The following is a 20,549-nucleotide window of genomic DNA, read 5'->3' on the forward strand; positions in this document are numbered from 1 at the left end:
AAACATTGGTATTTTCCTTTTTTTTTTTTTTTTTCCTGAGATGGCGTTTCGCTCTTGTTGCCCAGGCTGCTTCAACAAAAGGTTCAAGAGGTGGAGGGCTAGTCCCAAGACCACACAGGAAGCCCATCTGAGAAGATCTGATCCTCTCTTCCTGGGGGATCTTCTCCAAGATAAAGGCTTTAAACATCTCTATGCGCACAGCTCCCACATTTGTATCTCTGGCCTGAAATTCCCCTGGATTCAGAACTCATGCACTCAGCTGTCCAGACATATCAAGACTTAATCTGTTCAAAATGAAACTCTTTATTCCTGTGCTACAATCTGAATGATTATGCACTCCCCTCCCCCAAATTTATATGTTGCAATTTGAACTCCCAAGGTGACGGTATAGAAGGTGGGCCTTTGGGAGGTGAATAGGACTTAGGGGTAGAGCCTCGTGAATAGGACTAATGCCCTTATAAAAGAAACCTCAAGGGAGTTCATTCACCCCCTTCTACCAGGCGAGGATACAGGGATAAGGTGCTAACTGAACCAGGAAGCAGGCCCCCGTCATCCACTGAATCTGATGACACTTTGATCTTGGACTTCCCAGCCTCCAGGATTGTGAGGAAGAAATTTCTGTTGTTGACAAGCTTCCCAGCCTATGGAATTTTGTTATAGAAGCCTGATCAGACTGAGACATCCTCTGTCTAAACCTACTTCTTCTGCAGCCTTTCCCATCTCGGCCCAAGCAAGTCCATTCTTCCAGGTGCTCAGGACCAAACCCTGGGCACCATCTTTCTCTTCTTCCTTTCTCTTATATGCCACATCCAGTCCACCTGGAAATTGTGTAGGCTTTATCTTCAGAATATATCCTGAGTCCAGTCACTTCTCACCACCTCCACTGCTCCCACTTTGGTCCAAGCTACTATTAGCTCTCATCCAGTTTTTGCAACAACCCCCTCACTGGTCTCTCACCTCCTGTCCTCCACCTGCCACCCCCATCCTGACCTCTTCGCCTTGTCAGAACATTCTGTGTGATACATTGATACACAGAGCAGACTCATGATTCATCTGCTTATAATGTTCCGCTGATTTCACATCTCATTCTGAAGGAAAGGTGATGGGGGAGAGGAAGAGAGCAATGGGCAAGAGTTCAGAGAACTGGCTCCCATGCCACCCTCATCCCTGACTCTGGAAAAGTGGGCATCTATCTCCATGACCCAGTTTCCTCTTCATATGGTTTGACTCTGTGTCCCCATCCAAATCTTATCTTGCGTTGTAATCACCACATGTCAAGGGAGGGCCCTGGTGGGAGGTGATTGGATCATGGGGGCCATTTCCCCATGCTGTTTTCGTGATAGTGAGTGAGTGCTTACGAGATCTGATGGTTTAAAAGTGTGGCACCTCCCCTCTTGCTCTGTCTCTCCTGTGGCCATGTAGAGTGTGCCATGGCCTTCTGCCATGATTGTAAGTTTCCTGAGGCCTCTCAAGCCATGTGGAATTGTGAGTCAATTAAACCTCTTTTGTTTATAAATTACCCAGTCTCAGGTAGTATCTTTACAGCAGTGTGAAAACAGAGTAACACACCTCTCATCTAAGATCCCCTCTTGTTTTAAGTTGTTAGATGTGTATATTTTAAGAGGTGGAGGAGTCAGCAGTCTGTGTATCCCCAAAACTCTCCTGCACCCCTCTCTGACTCTGCTTGGACCTGTCCTTCCTGATCCACTCTCCAGGGCTCCTGGCCCCTTTGCCCTCATCCCCTCCTCCTCCGGCTTCACAAAGATCCATCATTCCTTGCAGGCCTCTGCTGATTCACAAGCTCCCAGAGACTGTGGCAACAGCTGCCTTTGAAATATTGAAAATGAAAAAAAAAAAAAAAGCTTTTCAAAAAGTAAACAAATGCACAGGAGAGTGGGAAGGAGTTCTCCAGCGGGAAGTGGTTGGTGACTATATTGATACAAGGGAGGTGAATTTATTTTCTTTTTTCTATTTTTTTTGAGACGGAGTCTCGGTCTGTCACCCAGGCTGGAGTGCAGTGGTGCCATCTCGGCTCACTGCAACCTCCACCTCCTGGGTTCACGCCATTCGCCTGCCTCAGCATCCTGAGTAGCTGAGACTACAGGTGCCCGCCACCACGCCCGACTAATCAGCTAATTTTTAAATATTTTTAGTAGAGACAGGGTTTCACCGTGTTAGCCAGGGTGGTCTCAATCTCCTGACCTCGTGATCTGCCAGCCTCAGCCTCCCAAAGTGCTGGGATTATAGGCGTGAGCCAGTGCGCCTGGCCTGTGAATTTATTTATTTATTTATTTATTTATTTATTTTTATTTTTTTCGAGACGGAGTCTCGCTCTGTCACCCAGGCTGGAGTACAGTGGCATGATCTCAGCTCACTGCAACCTCCACCTCCCAGGTTCACGCCATTCTCCTGCTTCAGCCTCCTGAGTATCTGGGACCACAGGCGCCTGCCACCACACCCAGCTAATTTTTCGTATTTTTAGTAGAGATGGGGTTTCACCGTGTCAGCCAGGATGGTCTCGATCTCCTGACCTCATGATCTGCCTGCCTCAGCCTCCCAAAGTGCTGGGATTACAGGCGTGAGCCATCGCACCCGGCCATGAATTTATTTTCTAACCAGGCTATGCAAGTGCAAAAACCAAGCCAGGCAATGAGTTCACAACATCCTAAAAGTAATATCTGACTATGTGGAAAAGGATTAAAGTCTACATTTACTCAGGATTCTCCAAAACAGATCTGAGGCAGATCTCCAAACCATTACCTCTGGATCCCTCCCACCTGCTATCTACTTAAGTTCTAGCCTCTCTCTCAAGCCCCAGACTTTATTTGCTGTCCATTTAAACCTGGAAGATTCAAACAAAATTACCTTTTCTTTCCCATCCCCGATACAGCGTCTCCCCAGACTTTCCTATTTCCATGCAGACCCCACTATCCTGTGAGTTGTCCAGGTTCAAAGACATTCCTGTCATCTGTGGCTCCCTGGGGGTTGATTAGGATGTTTTGGGCAACTGGGAACAGCACCTCCTACCATCAGCAGTCAGAAAATACCAATGCTGGCTGGGCGAGGTGGCTCACGCCTGTAATCCCAGCACTTTGGGAGGCCAAGGAGGGCGGATCATCTGAGGTCAGGAGTTAGAGACCAGCCTGACCAACATGGTGAAACCCTGTCTCTACTAAAAATACAAAAAAAAAAAAATAGCTGGGCGTGGTGGTGTGCGCCTGTAGTCCCAGCTACTCAGGAGGCTGAGGCATGAGAGTCGCTTGAACCTGGGAGGCGGAGGTTGCAGTGAGCCAAGATTGCACCACCGTACTCCAGCCTGGGCAACAGAGTGAGACTCTGTCTCAAAAAAAAAAAAAAGAGCTTTACTTACTCTAAATAATATTTTGTGTCCATATCTACACATAGATAACAACAAATCACTATCATTTTTGGTATGGGCATGTGTAGATATAAGTATTAAATCAATTTCCTACCTTTTATCCAGTTATGGTTATATCCCCTATCAGTGATGTAACTTCAGCCAAGATAGAAATTTATCTCACAAAAAGCAAGACTGGGATGGGTGCAATGGCTCACACCTGTAATCCCAGCACTTTGGGAGGCTGAAGCGAGTGGATCACTTGAGGTCATGATTTCGAAACTGGCCTGGTCAACATGGTGAAACCCCGTCTCTACTAAAAATAAAAAAAATTAGCTGAACATGGTGGCACACACTTGTAATCCCAGCTATTCGGGAGGCTGAGGCATGAGAATCACTTGAACCTGGGAGGCGGAGGTTGCAATGAGCTGAGATCACGCCATTGCACTCCACCCTGGGCAACAGAGCAAGACTCTGTCTCAAAAAACAAAAAAGTAAAAACAAAACTGGAAGTTGTCAGTCTAGGGTGGCGTTAGGGACTTTCATTTCCTTCCAGAGGACATTCTGCTATCCGCAGGGTAGAAGCCTAATCCTCAAGGTTCAAGGTGACAAGAATAGCTCCAACCATCATATGCTTATTCCAGGAAGCAGGTCAAAGGATGAACAACTAAGAAATGACACTAAAGATATATGTCAGCCCATCTGCATTGCCTAAAGGAATAACTGAGGCTGAGTAATTTATAGAAGAGAGGTTTAATTGGCTCACAGTTCTGCAGGCTGTACAAGCATGACACCACCATCAACTCCTGAGGAGGCCTCGGGAAGCTTCCAATCATGGCAGAAGGTGAAAGGAAGCAGGTACATCACATGGCGAGAGAAAGAGCAAGAGAGGGAGGAGGACATGCCAGGCCCTTTAAACAACCAGATCTCCCATAAACTCAGAGCAAGAACTCTGTCATTGCCACTGGGACAGCACCAACCCATTGTGAGAGGGATCTGCCCACATCACCAAAACACCTCCCACCAGGCCCCACCTCCAGCATCAGGGATCACATTTCAACATGAGATTTGGAGGGGACCAACATCCAAACCATATCAAGACAGAAGTTACAGAAAGGGGTTTCCAAAAATGCCACCCAATACTTTTATTACCTCCCATTGGCCAGAACCTGGTCACATGGCCACAACTCATGGCAAGGAAGCCTGGGAAAATGTAGCCTGTGCCCACTCACTAGGAGAGGGGAGCACTGGTGCCAGGGTGCAGGAACACCAGTGGGCATTCATACTTCCTACTTCGTCTTATAAAAATCCTTAGAGATTCATCTTTGTGTATTTTTCTGACTATTTCCTAGGGATAAATGCCTATAAATGAATTTGGGACCAAAAGTTATGCACTTTCATTGGCCAATTGCCAATTGCCCTCTAGAAAGCTTGTACTAATTAACTCACACAAGAGGTGGGGTTCTATTTCATGAAATGTTTCTCCACCCCATATTTCCTTTTAATCCACACCCTTTGGTCTTTATTAGGCTTACACATCTCTTCAGAATCCCTGCTTCCTACATTATAATCTTGGGATTTAATACATGTTTTTCATTCAGGTTATTATCAATATCAGATTTATCTGACTATGCATGAACACAGCCACAGATTCAGGGAAAAAGATGTATCTTTCAGCGCTGAAGAGAATAAAAATTAATAATCCTCAGAGACTTTCAAACTGAAGTGGGCAGGGAAGGGTGGAAAGAACCGATCTCATTCTATGAAGAGCATGCAGGGATTTTCACAGAGCATGTAGTGCTGAGTACAGCACACCAGGCACCCGGGGACACCCAGAGAGCAGCCTTTCCTCAACACAAGAGGAGTGAGCACCGCACAGAGCTGCAGAAAGGGAATCCCAGATGGGGTAACAGCAGATACAAAGACCCCACGGCAGGCCCTGGCCTGGCCTGCTGGAGGAGCAGAACGGAAGCCAGTGGGTCTGGAGTAAAGGGGACCAACTTGTCCCGGTTTGCCCAGAACTTTCCTGGTTTTAACACTAGAAATCCCATGTCCCAGGAAACTTCTGAGTCTCAGCCAAGCTGGGATGATTTGCCTAGAACTTCCCCTATTATAAAACTGAGAGGTCTGTGCCCCATCATCCGCCTCAGTCCTAAGCAAGCTGAGGCAGTGGGTCGCCCTAGACTGGAGCAACGTGCATGATGGTGGGAAGAGCCAGTGACTCTCTTTCATGTCCTCTCTGCCCTCGATCTCAGGAGTCACCCAGGTGGGCACTGGCATCCAGGATGAAAACTTCCCAGCACCCCAGCAGTGGCCACGTGACCAGGCAGTGGCCAATGCACATGAGGCCAGTGCACAGCAACTGCCATTAGAGGAAGGAAGATTTGTGTCCTCTTGTTCTCTTCTCCCCTCCCTGCTGGCTGGTAGTAGATAGGATGGACACTGTGGGGGAAGCTACACCCTAAAGAAGTCAAAGCAGCAAGATGGAAGTACCCTAAGACCCTGAAAAATGCACAGAGAAGAATCACCCGACTGGCTTGAACTTTCATGTGAAAGGAATGAACCTCTGTCTTAGTAAAGCCACCGTGATTCAGGGTCCTTGTGATATTCACTGAGGCTGTAACATAATTGTTGAAAGAACAGGAGCGGGAGGGGAGATGGAGTCGGAGAGGCAGGCAGAGGTCAGATCACATGGGGCCTGTAGGCCAAGGCGGAGGAAGAAACAGGTGACATAGGACTCAAGGACCCCACCTGCTCCCAGGCGAAGGGAGTTTGCTGTGGGTGCCCCTCCCTGTCTGTGTGTCCAGTGTATTCATATTCTTCATACCTTGCCCATATTGGACAAATACTTTTTTCTATTCAATATTTAGAAGACATTGCATTAAATAGCAAGATGGCAGGTGAACATCAGGAAGGAACATTAGGAACATCCACGGCGTTCCATCCAGGAACCTTCACCGTGGAAACTCTTGTGCTCATGGGCGTGGTCTCAAGACACAGTCAGCTGTTGGGGATCAGAGGCGACACTCATTGTAGCAGAGAGGCAGGACCAACTGGGAGAGGGTCCTTCTGTGACAACTATTGCATCACCGGGCTGTGTGAAGTGACTCAGCTGCCAGAACTCACACAATATCATTCTACACCAAACCTCACGGGAAAAATGGTAAGTTTAAAGTTTTTTCATTAATAGCAACTCTCAGATTAATCTCTGTCCTCCATCGCTTCTCCATGAAACAACTTTTTATAGCTTTGGTTGGGTCTATTTTTCCATTTATTTTTTATTTTACTAACTGATTTAAAGATATATATTTTGTGTGTGTGATTTTGTCTCTGTCAGCCAGGATAATCATGTTTTAATTCCTATTATTATTATTACCAACATCCTTTAGTTTTTTTAGCTTTTCAATTCCTAAGGGTATTAATCAGGATCTTTCTGTCTCGTGAGATGGAAAACAAATCCAAACTGTGTAAGAGGAAAAAGAATGCACTGATCACTAGCATTGAGAAGTTCCCAAGCTTAGCTTGCTTGGGGTACAGCTACGTCTACCATTTCCAGGGTCATCCTGTAACTCTCTCTCTCTACTTCCCCAACTTTGGCTCCATGTTTAGCTCCACGACCCTCAGACTTAAACAGCAGCACTGGCTCCTCCCCAGATCTCCAGCTCCCTGACCCTCAAACTCCAACTCCAACACCAGCTCTGCCCCAGGTCTCCAGCTCCACAATCCTCAAACTACAACAGCAGCACCAGCTCCCCTGGGGATCTCCAGCTCAATGACTCTCAGACTTGGGAGGCAGCTCCAGCTCCCACCAAGCCTCCAGCTCCACAACCTTCAAACTAGAACAGCAGCACCAGCTACTCCCTGGGTCTCCAGCTCCCTCAAAATTCAACTATAGCACTGGCTGTTCCCCAGCGCCACCAGCTCCACAACCCTCAACTTACACGGTGGTAGCACCAGCTCCTCCCTAGGTCTCCAGCTACACGACCGTCAAACTTGAACTGCAACACCAGCTCCTCTTCGGCCTCCAGCTCCACAATCCTCCAACAACAACAGCAACACCGGCTCCTCCCTGAATCTCCAGCTCAACAACCCTCAGACTTGAGAGGCAGCACCGGCACCTCCCCAAGGCTCCAGCTCCATGACCCTCAGATTTGAACAGCGGTAGCACCAGCTCCTGTCCAGGTCTCCAGCTTCATGATCCTTAAACTAGAACAGCAGCACCACCACCTCCCTAGGTTTCCAGCTCCACGACCCTAAGACATGAATGGCAGGACCGGGTTCCCCGCTAGGGCTCCAGCTCCAAGACCCACAGATATAAACGGCAGCACCGGCTCTTCCTGGGATCTCCAGCTCCACAGCCTTCAAACACGATCAGCAGCACCAGCTCCCCTCTGGTTCTCCAGCTCCACAATCCTCAGACATGAACAGCAGCACAGGCTCCTCCTTGGGTCTCCAGCTTCTCTACCCTCAGACTAGAACAGCAACACTTGTTCCTCCCTGGGTCTCCAGCTCTTACAAGTCTCAGACTTGAAAGGCAGCACTGGCTCCTCAGAAAGTTTCTGGCTCCAAGCTGGTGCTGCTGTCCTAGTTTGAAGGTCATGGAGCTGGAGACCCGGGGAGGAACCATTTGAACAGCAGCACTGGCCCCTCCCCGGGTCTCAGGCTCCACGACCCTCAGACTTAAAAAGCCGTAGTACGGGCTTCTCCCTGGGTCTCCATCTCTACAACCCTCAGACATGAACAGCAGCAGCACCGCCCCCTCCCCCTGTCTCCAGTTCCACGAACCTCAAACTACAACAGCAGTACCGGCCTCTCCCCAGGTCTCCAGATCCACGACCCTCAAAATAGAATGGCATCACCGGCTCCTCCCTGGGTCTCCAGCTCCCAAACTCTCAAACTTCAATTGACACACCGGACCCTCCCCACAGTTAAACAGCAGCACGGGCTGTTCCCCAAAGCTCCAGATCCACGACCCTCTGACTTAAAGGGCGATAGCACCAACTCCTCCCTAAGTCTCCAGTTCCACGACCCTCAAACTACACAGCAGCACCGGCTCCTCCTTGGGTCTCCAGCTTCACTACACTCAGACTAGAATAGCAACACCGGTTCCTCCCTGGAACTCCAGCTCAATGACTCTCAGACTTGAAAGGCAGCACCAGCTCCTCAAAAAGGTTCTGGCTCCAAGACCCTCGAACTAGAATAGCAGCAGCTGCTGCATCTTGGGTCTCCAGCTCCACAACCCTCAAAGTAGAAAAGCAGCCCTGGCTCCTCCCCGAGTCTCCAACTCCTCAAGTCTGAGGGTTGTAGAGCTGGAGACCCGGGGAGGAGTCAGTGCTGCTGTTCTAGTTTGAGGGTCATGGATCTGGAGACCCAGGGTGGAGCCGGTGCTGCTGTTCTAGTGTGAGGGTCATGGAGCTGGAAGACCCCGGGAGGAGCTGCTGCTGCTGTTCTAGTGTGAGGGTCATGGAGCTGGAAGACCCCGGGAGGAGCTGCTGCTGCTGTCCTAGTTTGAAGGTCATGGAGCTGGAGACCCCGGAATGAGCCATTTGAACAGCAGCACTGGCCCCTCCCCAGGTCTCAGGCTCCACGACCCTCAGACTTAAAAAGCCGTAGTACGGGCTTCTCCCTGGGTCTCCAGCTCTACAACCCTCAGACATGAACAGCAGCACCGGCTCCTCCCCCTGTCTCCAGTTCCACGAACCTCAAACTACAACAGCAGTACCGGCCTCTCCCCAGGTCTCCAGATCCATGACCCTCAAAATAGAATGGCATCATCAGCTCCTCCCTGGGTCTCCAGCTCCCAAACCCTCAAACTTCAACTAACACAGCAGATCCTCCCCACAGTTAAACAGCAGCACGGGCTGTTCCCCAAAGCTCCAGATACACGACCCTCAGTAGCACTGGCTCCTCCCAAGGTCTCCAGTTCCATGACCCTCAAACTACACAGCAGCACCGGCTCCTCCCCAGGTCTATAGCTCCACCACCCTCACACTAGACATCAAGACTACCTCCTTCCCGCTCTCCAGCTACACGACCCTCAAACTTGAACAGCAGCAGCAGCTCCTCCCTAGATTTCCAGCTCCATGACCCTAAACCTGCAACAGCAGCACCAGCTCCTCCCTGTACCTCAAGCCCCATGACCCTCTGACTTGATCAACAGCAACAGCAGCTCCCTCCCTGGTCTCCAGCTCCACAACCTTCAGCCTTAAACAGCAGCAGCACCAGCTCCTCCCTGGGTCTCCAGCTCCACAACCCTCAGACTAGAACCGCACCCCTCCTCCCTGAGTCTCCAGCTCCATGACCGTCAAACTACAACAGCAACACAGGTTCCTGTCTGGATCTCCAGCTCAGCAACTCTCAGATGAGGCAGCACCGGCAACTCACCAAGGCTCCAGCTCCACAACCCTCAGATTTGAATAATGGTAGCACCAGCTCCTGTCCAGATCTCCAGCTTCATGATCCTTAAACTAGAACAGCAGCACCGCTGCCTCCCTGGGTTTCCAGCTCCACGACCCTAAGACATGAATGGCAGAACCGGCTTCCCACAAGGGTTCCAGCTCCAGGACCCACAGATTTAAATGGCAGCACTGGCTCTTCCCAGGATTTCCAGCTCCACTACCCTCAAACTAGAAGAGGAGCACCGGCTCCTCCCTGGGTCTCCAGCTCCCAAACCCTCAGACATCACCTGACACACTGGATCCTCCCCACAGTTACATAGCAGCACGGGCTGTCCCCGAAAACTCGAGATCCACAACCCTCTGACTTCAATGGCGGTAGTACTGGTTCCTCCCTAGGTCTCCAGTTCCATGACCCTCAAACTACACAGCAGCACCAGCTCCTCCCCAGGTCTACAGCTCCACCACCCTCACACTAGACACCAGGACTACCTCCTCCCCGCTCTCCAGCTACACGACCCGCAGATTTGAACAGCAGCAGCGTCTCCTCCCTGTACCTCAAGCCCCATAACCCTCATATATGAACAACAGCAATACCAGCTAATGCCTAGGGCTCCAGCTCCAGGATCCACAGATTTAAACTGCAGCACCAGCTCGTCCAAGGATCTCCAGCTCCACCACCCTCAGACTAGAACAAGACCTCTACTCCCTGGGTCGCGAGCTTCCGGACCCTCGAACTATGAAAACATTGCTCCTCCCTGGGTCCGCAGCTCCACGACCCTCAAACCAGATCAAGATCTCTCCTCCCTGTGTCGTCAGCTTCCTGACCCTTGAACTATGACAACATTGCTCCTCCCTGGGTCAGCAGCTCCACAACCCTCAAACCAGATCAAGATCTCTCCTCCCTGGGTCGCCAGCTTCCTGACCCTCGAACAACAGAAACATTACTCCTCCCTGGGTCAGCAGCTCCATGATCCTCAAACTAGAATGAGACCTCTCCTCCCTGCGTCGCCAGCTTCTGGACCCTTGAACTATGAAAATATTGCTCCTCCCTGGGTCGGGAGCTCCATGACCCTCAAACTAGAACAAGACCTCTCCTCCCTAGGTCTGCAGCTTCCAGTCCCTCAAATAACAACATTGCTCCTCCCTGGATCTGCAGCTCCACGACCCTCAGACTAGAACACGATCTGTCCTCCCTGGGTCACCAGCTTCCGAACCTTCGAACTAAAACAACATTGCTCCTCCCTGGGTCTGCAGCTCCACGACCCTCAAACTAGAAAAAGACCTCTCCTCACTGTGTCGCCAGCTTCTGGACCCTCGAACTACAAAAACATTGCTCCTGCCTGGGTCTGCAGCTCCACGACCCTCAATCCAGATCAAGATCTCTCCTCCCTGTGTCATCAGCTTCCTGACCCTCGAACTATGACAGCATTGCTCCTCCCTGGGCGCACCCTCAAACTAGAACAAGACCTCTCCACCCTGCGTCGCCAGTTTCCGGAGCCTCAAACTAAAACAACCTTGCTCCTCCCTGGGTCTGCAGCTCCACAACCCTCAAACTAGAACCAGACCTCTCCTCCCTGTGTTGCCAGCTTCCTGACCCTTGAACTATGGAAACATGGCTCCTCCCTAGGTCTGCAGCTCCACGACCCTCAAACTAAAACAAGATCTCTCCTCCCTGGGTCTGCAGCTCCACGACCCTCAAACTAAAACAAGATCTCTCCTCCCTGTGTCATCAGCTTCCAGTCCCTCAAATAACAACATTGCTCCTCCCTGGGTCTGCAGCTCCACGACCCTCAAACTAAAACAAGACCTCTCCTCTCTAGGTCTGCAGCTTCCAGTCCCTCAAATAACAACATTGCTCCTCCCTGGATCTGCAGCTCCATGACTCTCAGACTACAACAAGATCTCTCCTCCCTGGGTCACCAGCTTCCGGACCCTCGAACTACGAAAACATTGCTCCTCCCTGGGTCTCCAGCTCCATGACCCTCAAACTAAAACAAGATCTCTCCTCCCTGTGTCATCAGCTTCCAGTCCCTCAAATAACAACATTGCTCCTCCCTGGGTCTGCAGCTCCACGACCCTTAAACTAGAACAAGACCTCTCCTCACTGTGTCGCCAGCTTCCGGACCCTTGAACTATGAAAACATTGCTCCTCCCTGGGTCCGCAGCTCCACGACCCTCAAACTAAAACAAGATCTCTCCTCCCTAGGTCTGCAGCTTCCAGTCCCTCAAATAACAACATTGCTCCTCCCTGGATCTGCAGCTCCACGACCCTCAGACTAGAACAAGACCTCTCCTCCCTGAGTCACCAGCTTCCGAACCTTCGAACTAAAACAACATTGCTCCTCCCTGGGTCCGCAGCTCCATGACCCTCAAACTAGAACAAGACCTCTCCTCCCTAGGTCTGCAGCTTCCAGTCCCCAAATAACAACATTGCTCCTCCCTGGATCTGCAGCTCCACGACCCTCAGACTAGAACAAGATCTCTCCTCCCTGGGTCACCAGCTTCCGGACCCTGGAACTACAAAAACATTGCTCCTCCCTGGGTCTGCAGCTCCACAACCCTCAAACTAAAACAAGATCTCTCCTCCCTGTGTTGCCAGCTTCCGGACCCTCGAACTATGACAACATTGCTCCTCCCTGGGTCTGCAGCTCCACGACCCTCAAAGCAGATCAAGATCTCTCCTTCCTGTGTCATCAGCTTCCTGACCCTTGAACTATGACAACATTGCTCCTCCCTGGGTCTGCAGCTCCATGACTCTCAAACTAGAACAGCAGCACCAGCTCCTTCCTGGACCTCCAGGTCAATGACTCTCAGACTTCAAAGGCAGCAGCAGCTCCACCCCCAGGCTCCAGCTCTAAAACCCTCAGATGTGAGCAGTGGCAGCACCAGCTCCTTTCTGCGTCTCCGGCTTCATGATCCTTAAATTAGAACAGCAGCGCCATCTTCTCCCTGCGTCTCCAGCTCCAGGAACCTCAAACTGCAACAGGAGCACCTGTTCCTCTGGGATTTTCACCTCCACGACCCTGAGGTGTCAGTGGCAGCACTGGCTCCTCCCCTGGGCTGCAGCTCCAGAACCCTCAAGAATAATCCCTTCTCATGAAATGTAGCAGTCAGGAAAACTGCAGAGGAAGTAAATAAATAAATGTTTTCTTTCAAACTGATGTTTCTTTTATATTCACACAAGTCAGGAAACTTTTCTACTTTCCATCAACCTTACAATCTACTTATATTCAATTGTAAGGTGGAAATCCACCATTTGAAATAACCTTTAAAAACTTAGTAACTCTCTTTTACTATGATTTTATCTCACAGCTCTAGAAACGATCTTTCACTTTGCCTGTGCAGAAGTCTTGTGAACATTCAAACTAGAATTTACTTGGTTGAGATTCTAGAATACACGTTATCCCCAGATGTTCCTGCCCTCCTTAAAATCTTCTAACATGTTCCCCTCACCCGAGCATAAATGCCAGGTCCTATCCACAGCCCACAGTGCCCAGCACGGCCCTGCCCTCTGCCCTGACCTTATGGTCTCCCCTCTGCTGTTACTTTCCTCCCAGACAGGCCTCTGTCACTTCCTGAAACCACACAGGCTCAGGCCTGACTCCGGGCCTTTGCCCCTGCTGTGCCCCCTGCGTGGAGCGCCTTTGCCCGGCTCCCCATCCTCCTCTCCACCCGCTCAGCTCCAGCCTGCTGGCTGCCCCTCAGTCCCCGCCCCTCAGCGGGGAGGACATCCAGAACACACGATGTCCTCCCCGCTAGGCCTTTGCACATGCTGTTCTCTGTGCCTGAAACCCCTCCCCCCTCACCATCTGCGTTCACTTTTCTAATTTCCATTCATCCTTGGAGTCTCCACTGAAATATCGCCCCCCCGCCTGCCCCCACCACTTGGACTTAACCTTGCTTAGGTTGAAAACCCCCATCTCCTGAGTCCAGGAAGCTAGATGCTGTCCTGGCACTTGGAACTTTCCCATCACAGCGTTTTGCGCACTCGTAATTTATTCTATTAGGTTGGTGCAGAAGTCATCGCAGTTTTTGTCATTACTTTCAATGAACTGCAGCGCCGGCTCCTCCCCACTTTTGATTGCCATTACCTTTACTGGCAAAAAAGTGCTGGAATTACTGCTGCACCAACCTAATAGAATAATTTATATTTATTGATCCATCATATGTCTTCCCCTCTAGAAAATAAGCTCCATAAGAATAGTGACCAAATCTACTCCAATCACTCCAGCTTCCTTGCACATTGTCAATAATTATTTACCGACTGACTGATAGAGAAATATCTTCATTGTTGCTGGGATGAGCCACATAACATGACACGCCCCTTTGAAAGTCAATGTCATGGACAGTTAGCATTTGCTTTTCACTCCTGCACCCGTGGCTTGGCTGGGCTTAGGCTGATCTAGTCTGGGCTTGACTCCAGGCTGAGGGTTGGAACCCTGCGTGCTCCACATGCCTCTCATCCTGCAGCTGGAGCCAAAGTTCCCTGGGGCACGCTCGTCTCGTGGGAAAAATCAAGAGCATTAGAGGGCAGGCCTGGCAGTGCCGACACATTCCAGGCTTCTGCCTGTGCCGTGTCTACGAACATCTCATTGGCATAAGCAATTCACCCAGACACGAGCAATACCTCCATCTCAAAAGATAGGAAAAGAAAATACCAGTGTTTTTAGGAAAGAAAATACCAGTGTTTTTAGGAAAAGACTGGGGGGTGGGGTGCAGATCTGGGCATTACGTATTCCAATTTCCTATTGTAGAAAATGGGAGCTAATCAAAGGCTTGGCTTCAATGCTTCCAGTTTAGGATCAAAGCCAAAACAACGAAATAGGGGCAATTCAAAGGAACACCCTCTTTACACCTGTTATTTTTATAAGAAATGAAAACCTTTCTTAGGAGACCTGTCACAATCCTCTTCGGTCTTTTGGGCCAGAATGAGTCATAGGGAAGTCCTCACTGTAAAGGGAGCTGGGAAGTATCTGGCAAAGGTGACTGGCATAGCCAAGGCTGGTTTTGACCAATTGTGATCCATTTCCATTTTGCCTAGAAAAAAATCCTGTTAGCAAGTAGGGTGGGGACAGCTGTTGGGTGAGCAAACATCAGCACCTCCTACTTTATCTTCTTCCACCGCCAGCATCCAATCCAGGGGACAGCCTGTTGTTCCCTCCCTCAGATGCCTCCTCTATTGGTCAGCTTGTTTTCTTCCTATGCCTGGTACCTTCATTGGCATTGCACCTTCTCTAGCCTGGACCATAATTGCCCTTAATACCCTACCTCCTGTCCTTTCTCTTTCAAAAGACTGACAGATACCTGATCTCTCAAGTACAATTCTAACTTGATTACTCCAGCACCCAACTATCTTTGATAACTCTGTCTCATCTGCCAAGTTATATACAAACCTTCTCAGGGTGAAAACCAAGGCCTTCCATAATATGATCATTGGTAAGGGAGAAAAAAAAAAAAAACAGTCCTGTTTGCATCTAGACTATGGAGGGAACTGAGAAACACAACCCTCCAGGCCATGATGCTCCTGAGTCGACATGAACCACACTCAAAGAATATGAACTCGTTCAGACAAGGCCACAAGTTGACTGTGTTTAGAGGTAGGCAGGGATAAGACCACTCTGCAGCCACAGAAATGACTGAACATGCCCCTTTTCTAACATGAGTGACAGCTGCCTCTTTACCAGTGACAACTCTAGCCTGCTTCAAGCTTCCCACTCCTGAGATAAAGTATTTAAGATACGCAATCACCAAGTTGCCCTCACTTCTTGACCTTGCCTCCTTAATCCCTTTTTGGAACCATTCTGTAGAAGCCTAGGTCCTCTAAAAAGCACTGCCCCTTCCCCCTTACTGAGATGCCCCCAGGTGGCCATGGGCGTGGGAATCTCCCTGACTGCAGCAAGCTAAATAAACTGACTGTGACTGCAGGGAAGTTCCTGGCAGTCTTAGGTGGGTGGGCTTTAACATCATGATCTAACTTTACAACTTTACAACTGTTCCCCAATAGCTTCTTTATAGTTCAGACTTTTTTTTTTTTTTCACAATCACACTTAATTCTGAACAAGTTGCTGGATCCAGCTGCTATTTTGCAAGAAATACACAGGACAGAGACAGGAATGTGCTGACTGCACCATAAATTCGGATTCGCCAAAATCCAGACTGTGAAAATCTTTATAGGTCACAGGGTTCAGGCACTGTGACAAAGAAGTTTTAAGAAAAAGACAGGCATGGAAGGGAAATCTGGAAATTTAAGAGACTTACCAAGATTTACCAAATGGGTAACGTGAACTATGCTGTCTAGGGAGCCACATGGGGGTGATTAAGCCATGCAGATTGTAGGGAGGTTGTTGACTATGAGAATCAGCATGAGGGTTACTTTTGGAGGGAGGAAGGGACAGACTGTGATTGGGATGCAGCCGTGAAGGGGACTCTGGCCAGGTGCTCTTTCTTGACTTAGTCTTGGTGATAAGAATATTTGTGTATAATATCTCACTAAGCTATACATTTTTGTGTTTTTTTTGTACCTGTGTTTGATTTTAAAATAAAAAGGCTAAAAAGAATATCCTTGAACAGTTTCATTTCTGTACATAGGAGTCTATAGACAAGGGAAGCAAGAAGTCAAGTTAGGGAGCTGTCAGCAAACCAGGAGAAGGATGATGGGGCTTAACCCACGATGACAGCGGCAGAGACCAGGAGTTGCATTCAGATTCCAATGTTTTGGAAGAAAGAACCAACAGGAGCCTCTGACACATTGAATTGAACATGGGAGAAGAAGGAGAAGCAATGTTATACTGTCACCTCTTTCTGACTTTATTGTGAACCTGGTGAACATAATGGCCAATCAAAGACATTGGAGTGGATGAGATGAAGGTTTCACAAAAGTACTAAAGAAAAAGCTATTGTCTATGGGCAGATGACACTAGTCCAGGGAGGAAAAAAACGGTAGCGAGTAGATGTTCTTTTCCACCAAAAGGTATCGTGCCTATCGTGGAAGCTCCTGGTAGACATTTGCTGGAAACAGCATAGCCCAGAGACATTGGAATAAATTTGAGATGTCTTGAAACTATAATACCCAAATCTGACTATCTGTTCAGTGCTGAAATCTGACTATCTGTCATATTTGGGTATTATAGTGTCATAAGTGAGTGTCATAAAATGAGTTAGGAGTGTTTCTTCTGCCTGTATTTTCTGAAGGTGCTTACGATCGATGTTATTTCTTAAGGAGGGCTGAGATTGTCAGCCCAACACTTCAGATATGCATTGCCCTTGGGGCAATGCCCTTGATGGGGCATCAAGACCCCGTGTCTATTTCACTTCCGAAATTCAAGATAAACAAGGCAGCCTTTTGTTGGAGCTCATTGCCCATTTGTTGAATTGAATAATCCATCTCTCCTCCTTAAAAAAGTCAAGTTCATAAAATAAGGAAGCAAGACTTCTAAATATTTTATGGGAAAAGATTGTCAATAACCAACTCTTTTACATTATTTTTATAGGTCACACTTAAATTGGCAAAATAGCAACGTGCAGGTATGTGTCTTATGAACGTCTGCTTTTTAGCAATGAGAATCCTATTTTCCTACTGGCTTTTGTTATTATTTCTGACACGTCTAACTTAGTTTTTGCTCTCTTACTAGCTATAGGGTTTTCTCACTCTGTTGCTCAGGCTGGAGTTCAGTGCCACAATCACAGCTGCCTGTCACCTTGAACTCCTGGGCTCAAGCAGTCCTCCCACCTCAACCTACCAAGTGCCTGTAGTAGCTACAGGCATGCACCACCACTCCTGGTTAATTTTTTTGTTTTTAAAAATAGAATTGGGGGTTTAGCCATGTTGCCCAGGTTGGTCTCGAACTCCCATCCTCAAGTGATCCTCCTGCCTCGGCCTCCCAAAGTGCTAGGATAACAGATATGAATCACCACACCCAGCCTGTGGTAATACAATTTTTAAGCCGACATTTTCCTGGACTAAAGGAGCTGTTGAAGTCTAGACTCCTAGGAAAATCCTGATGTCCTGCTTATAAATAGACATCCTATTTGAGCTGAGTTATTTTGCAGAAAGGCTGCCTGCAGCTTTAAATGGGCTCCCCAACCTCAGATTCTGGGAAGTTGGCAGCCAGCTGCACTAGGAGTGAGTTATGATGTCAGCTTTCCAGAATTCCTAATGAACTCCAGAGCAAAAAATGCTGTTGCTCTGCCTCCCCCAAGTCACATTTCTAGTTGATTAACGAGCAAAGGAGTAGAAAAATCTATAGCTTTGGAGAAGGAGGAAGAGTGAAATAATTTCTCCTCTAAGAAACCACAGTGCCCCGATTATTTTATTTGTTAAGAAAAAGGAATTTCATTTTCTATTTATTTCCTCCTTTAAATCTAGATTCAGACCCCCGCTTCCCCCTTCCCAGTCATAAAAAGCAGGTTTGGCTCTATACCCCTCCCTTTACCTTCATCCCTGCTTATTTGGTCCAAGATAGAAAATCCAGCCCTGCCCTTTTGGGGGCAGTTGTCTTAGCTCTTTGAGGTCTGTTTAAAATCTCATCTAGCATACATAAAATAGATCTGCAACCCTCCATTAAAAGTCATGGCCTCCTGGCTGCAAAGAGATACATCCGGGTGAAAGTTGTGGTTGGTTATGTCCAGCTCAGCCCTTCTGTGGCCCTGCCCCAGCATGGGCTGAACATCTTCCCACCAGCTGGGACATCCAGGGCAGCTGATCTTTTAGGGGAAAATCACTCTGCACAATTACCCTGCTCCATATCCCACCTTCTGTAAGGCTGCTTAGGCTAATTAAAAGTCATGCTTCTTTGGAGAAATGTCTATTGAAATCCTTAGCCATTTTTTAATTGGGTTATTAGGGATTTTTTGCTATAAAGTTGTAGGAGTTCCTTATATATTTTGGAAATTATCCCTTATCAGATACATAGTTTGCAAATATTTTCTCTCATTCTGTAGGCTACCTTTTTACTCTACTGATTGTTTCCTTCGCTGTGCGGAAGCTGTTTAGTTTGGCATCGTACTTGTCTATTTTTGCTTTAGTTGCCCATGCTTTTGGTGTTGTATCCATGAAATCACTGCCAAGACCAATGTCATGAAATTTTCCCCTATGCTTTCCTCTAGGAGCTTTATAGTTTTAGATCTTACATTTAAGGCTTTAATCCATTTTTAGGTGATGTTTGTAAATGGTGTAAGACAAAGATAAGGATCTAATTTCATTCTTTTGCATATGTATATCCAATTTTCCCACCACTATTTATTGAAGAGGCTATCCTTTCCCTATTGTGTATTCTTGGCACCCATGTTGAAAATCATCCTACCATATATTTGGGTATTTATTTCTGGGCCCTCTATTATAATTCCATTCATCTATAGGTCTGTCTTTATGCCAGTACCATACTGTTTTAATGACTATAACTTTGTAATATATTTTGTGATCAGGAAATGTTATGCCTCTGGTTTTGTTCTTGTTTTTCAAGATTATTTTGGGTATTCTGGGTCTTTTGTGGTTCCATATAAATTTCTGAATTTTTTTGTATTTCTGTAAAAATAAAATTCCATGTGATTTTGATAGGGATTACTTTGAATCTGTAGAATGCTTAGGGTAGTAGGGACACTTTAACAGAATTAAGTCTTCCAATCCATGAACATGAGACATCTCTCCATTTGTTTGTGTCTTCTTTAATTTTTCTCATCAATATTTTGTAGTTTTCAGTGTACAGATCTTTCACTTCCTTAGTTAAGTTTGTTCCTAAGTATTTTTTTAATGCTATTGTAAACTGGATTGATTTTCTAATTTCCTTTTCAGATAGTTTGTTGTGAGTATATAGAAACACAATTGATTTTTGTATGTTGACTTTGTATCCTGCAACTTTACTGAATTTGTTTATTAATTCTAACAGGTTTTTTTTAAGAGTTTTTAGGGTTTTCCATATATAAGATCATGCCATCTGCAAAAGGGAAAGCTTAACTTCTTCTTTTCCAATTTAGATGCCTTTTATGTCTTTTTCTTGACTTGTTGTGTTGGCTAGGACTTCCAGTACTATGTTGAATAGAAGTGGTAAGAGTAAGCATCCTTGTCTTTTTCCTGTTCTTCCTGGAAAAGCTTTCAGTTTTTTACCATTGAGTGTAATGTTAACTGTGGGCTTTTCATATATGGCCTTTATTATGTTGAGTTAATAATTTTTCTCTATGCCTAGTTTTTGAGTGTTTTTATGATAAAAGAGTGTTGAGTTTCATGAAATGCTCTTTTTGTATCACTTGACATGATCACGAGATTTTTCTCCTTCATTCTGTTAATGTGGTGTCTCACATACAATAGCTATATGAAAAGATGCTCAGCATCCCTAATCATCAGGTGAATGCAAACTAAAACCAAAATGAGATATCACCACACATCATTTTTTAGGATGTCTATTATCAAAAAATCAAAAGACAACAAGTGAGAATGTGCAGAAATTGGAACCCTGCTACACTGTTGGTGGGAATGCAAAATGGTGCAGCTACTATGGAAAAATGCATAAAGGCTCCTCAAAAAAACTAAAAGTAGGACTATCATATGAACCAGCAATCTCATTTCTGGGTATTTATTCAAAAGAACTGCAATTAGGACCTTGAAGAGATCTCAGCACTGCCATCTTCATCGCAACATCGTTCACAGTAGCCAAGATGTGAAATCAATCTTGATTGATGGATGAATGGATTTTTAAAATGTGATGTAATATATACATATAATAAAATATTATTCAGCCTTAAAAAAAAAGAAATCTTGCAATCTATGACAACATGGATGACCCTTGAAAGCATTATGC

The 20,549-nt window shown here is 47.2% G+C and overlaps 1 long non-coding RNA gene across 1 annotated transcript, besides 1 other annotated feature; it reads left to right on the plus strand.

Moving 5' to 3' along the window:
* The first annotated feature begins 6,374 nt into the window (after positions 1-6,374).
* On the plus strand, positions 6,375-12,913 carry LOC105372640 (uncharacterized). The gene is made up of 2 exons (XR_936803.2): positions 6,375-6,521; positions 6,968-12,913. It is a non-coding gene; the product is annotated as an uncharacterized LOC105372640 (long non-coding RNA).
* Positions 12,073-12,958: an enhancer, noted in NCBI's record as "H3K27ac-H3K4me1 hESC enhancer chr20:46754717-46755602 (GRCh37/hg19 assembly coordinates)". NCBI's record gives its function as "activates a minimal SCP1, AML or CMV promoter by ChIP-STARR-seq in naive H9 embryonic stem cells {active_cell/tissue: H9 hESC(naive)}" and the evidence as "EXISTENCE:reporter gene assay evidence [ECO:0000049][PMID:30033119]".

The sequence above is a fragment of the Homo sapiens genome, chromosome 20 (assembly GCF_000001405.40).
Source record: "Homo sapiens chromosome 20, GRCh38.p14 Primary Assembly".
Lineage (NCBI taxonomy): Eukaryota > Metazoa > Chordata > Mammalia > Primates > Hominidae > Homo > Homo sapiens.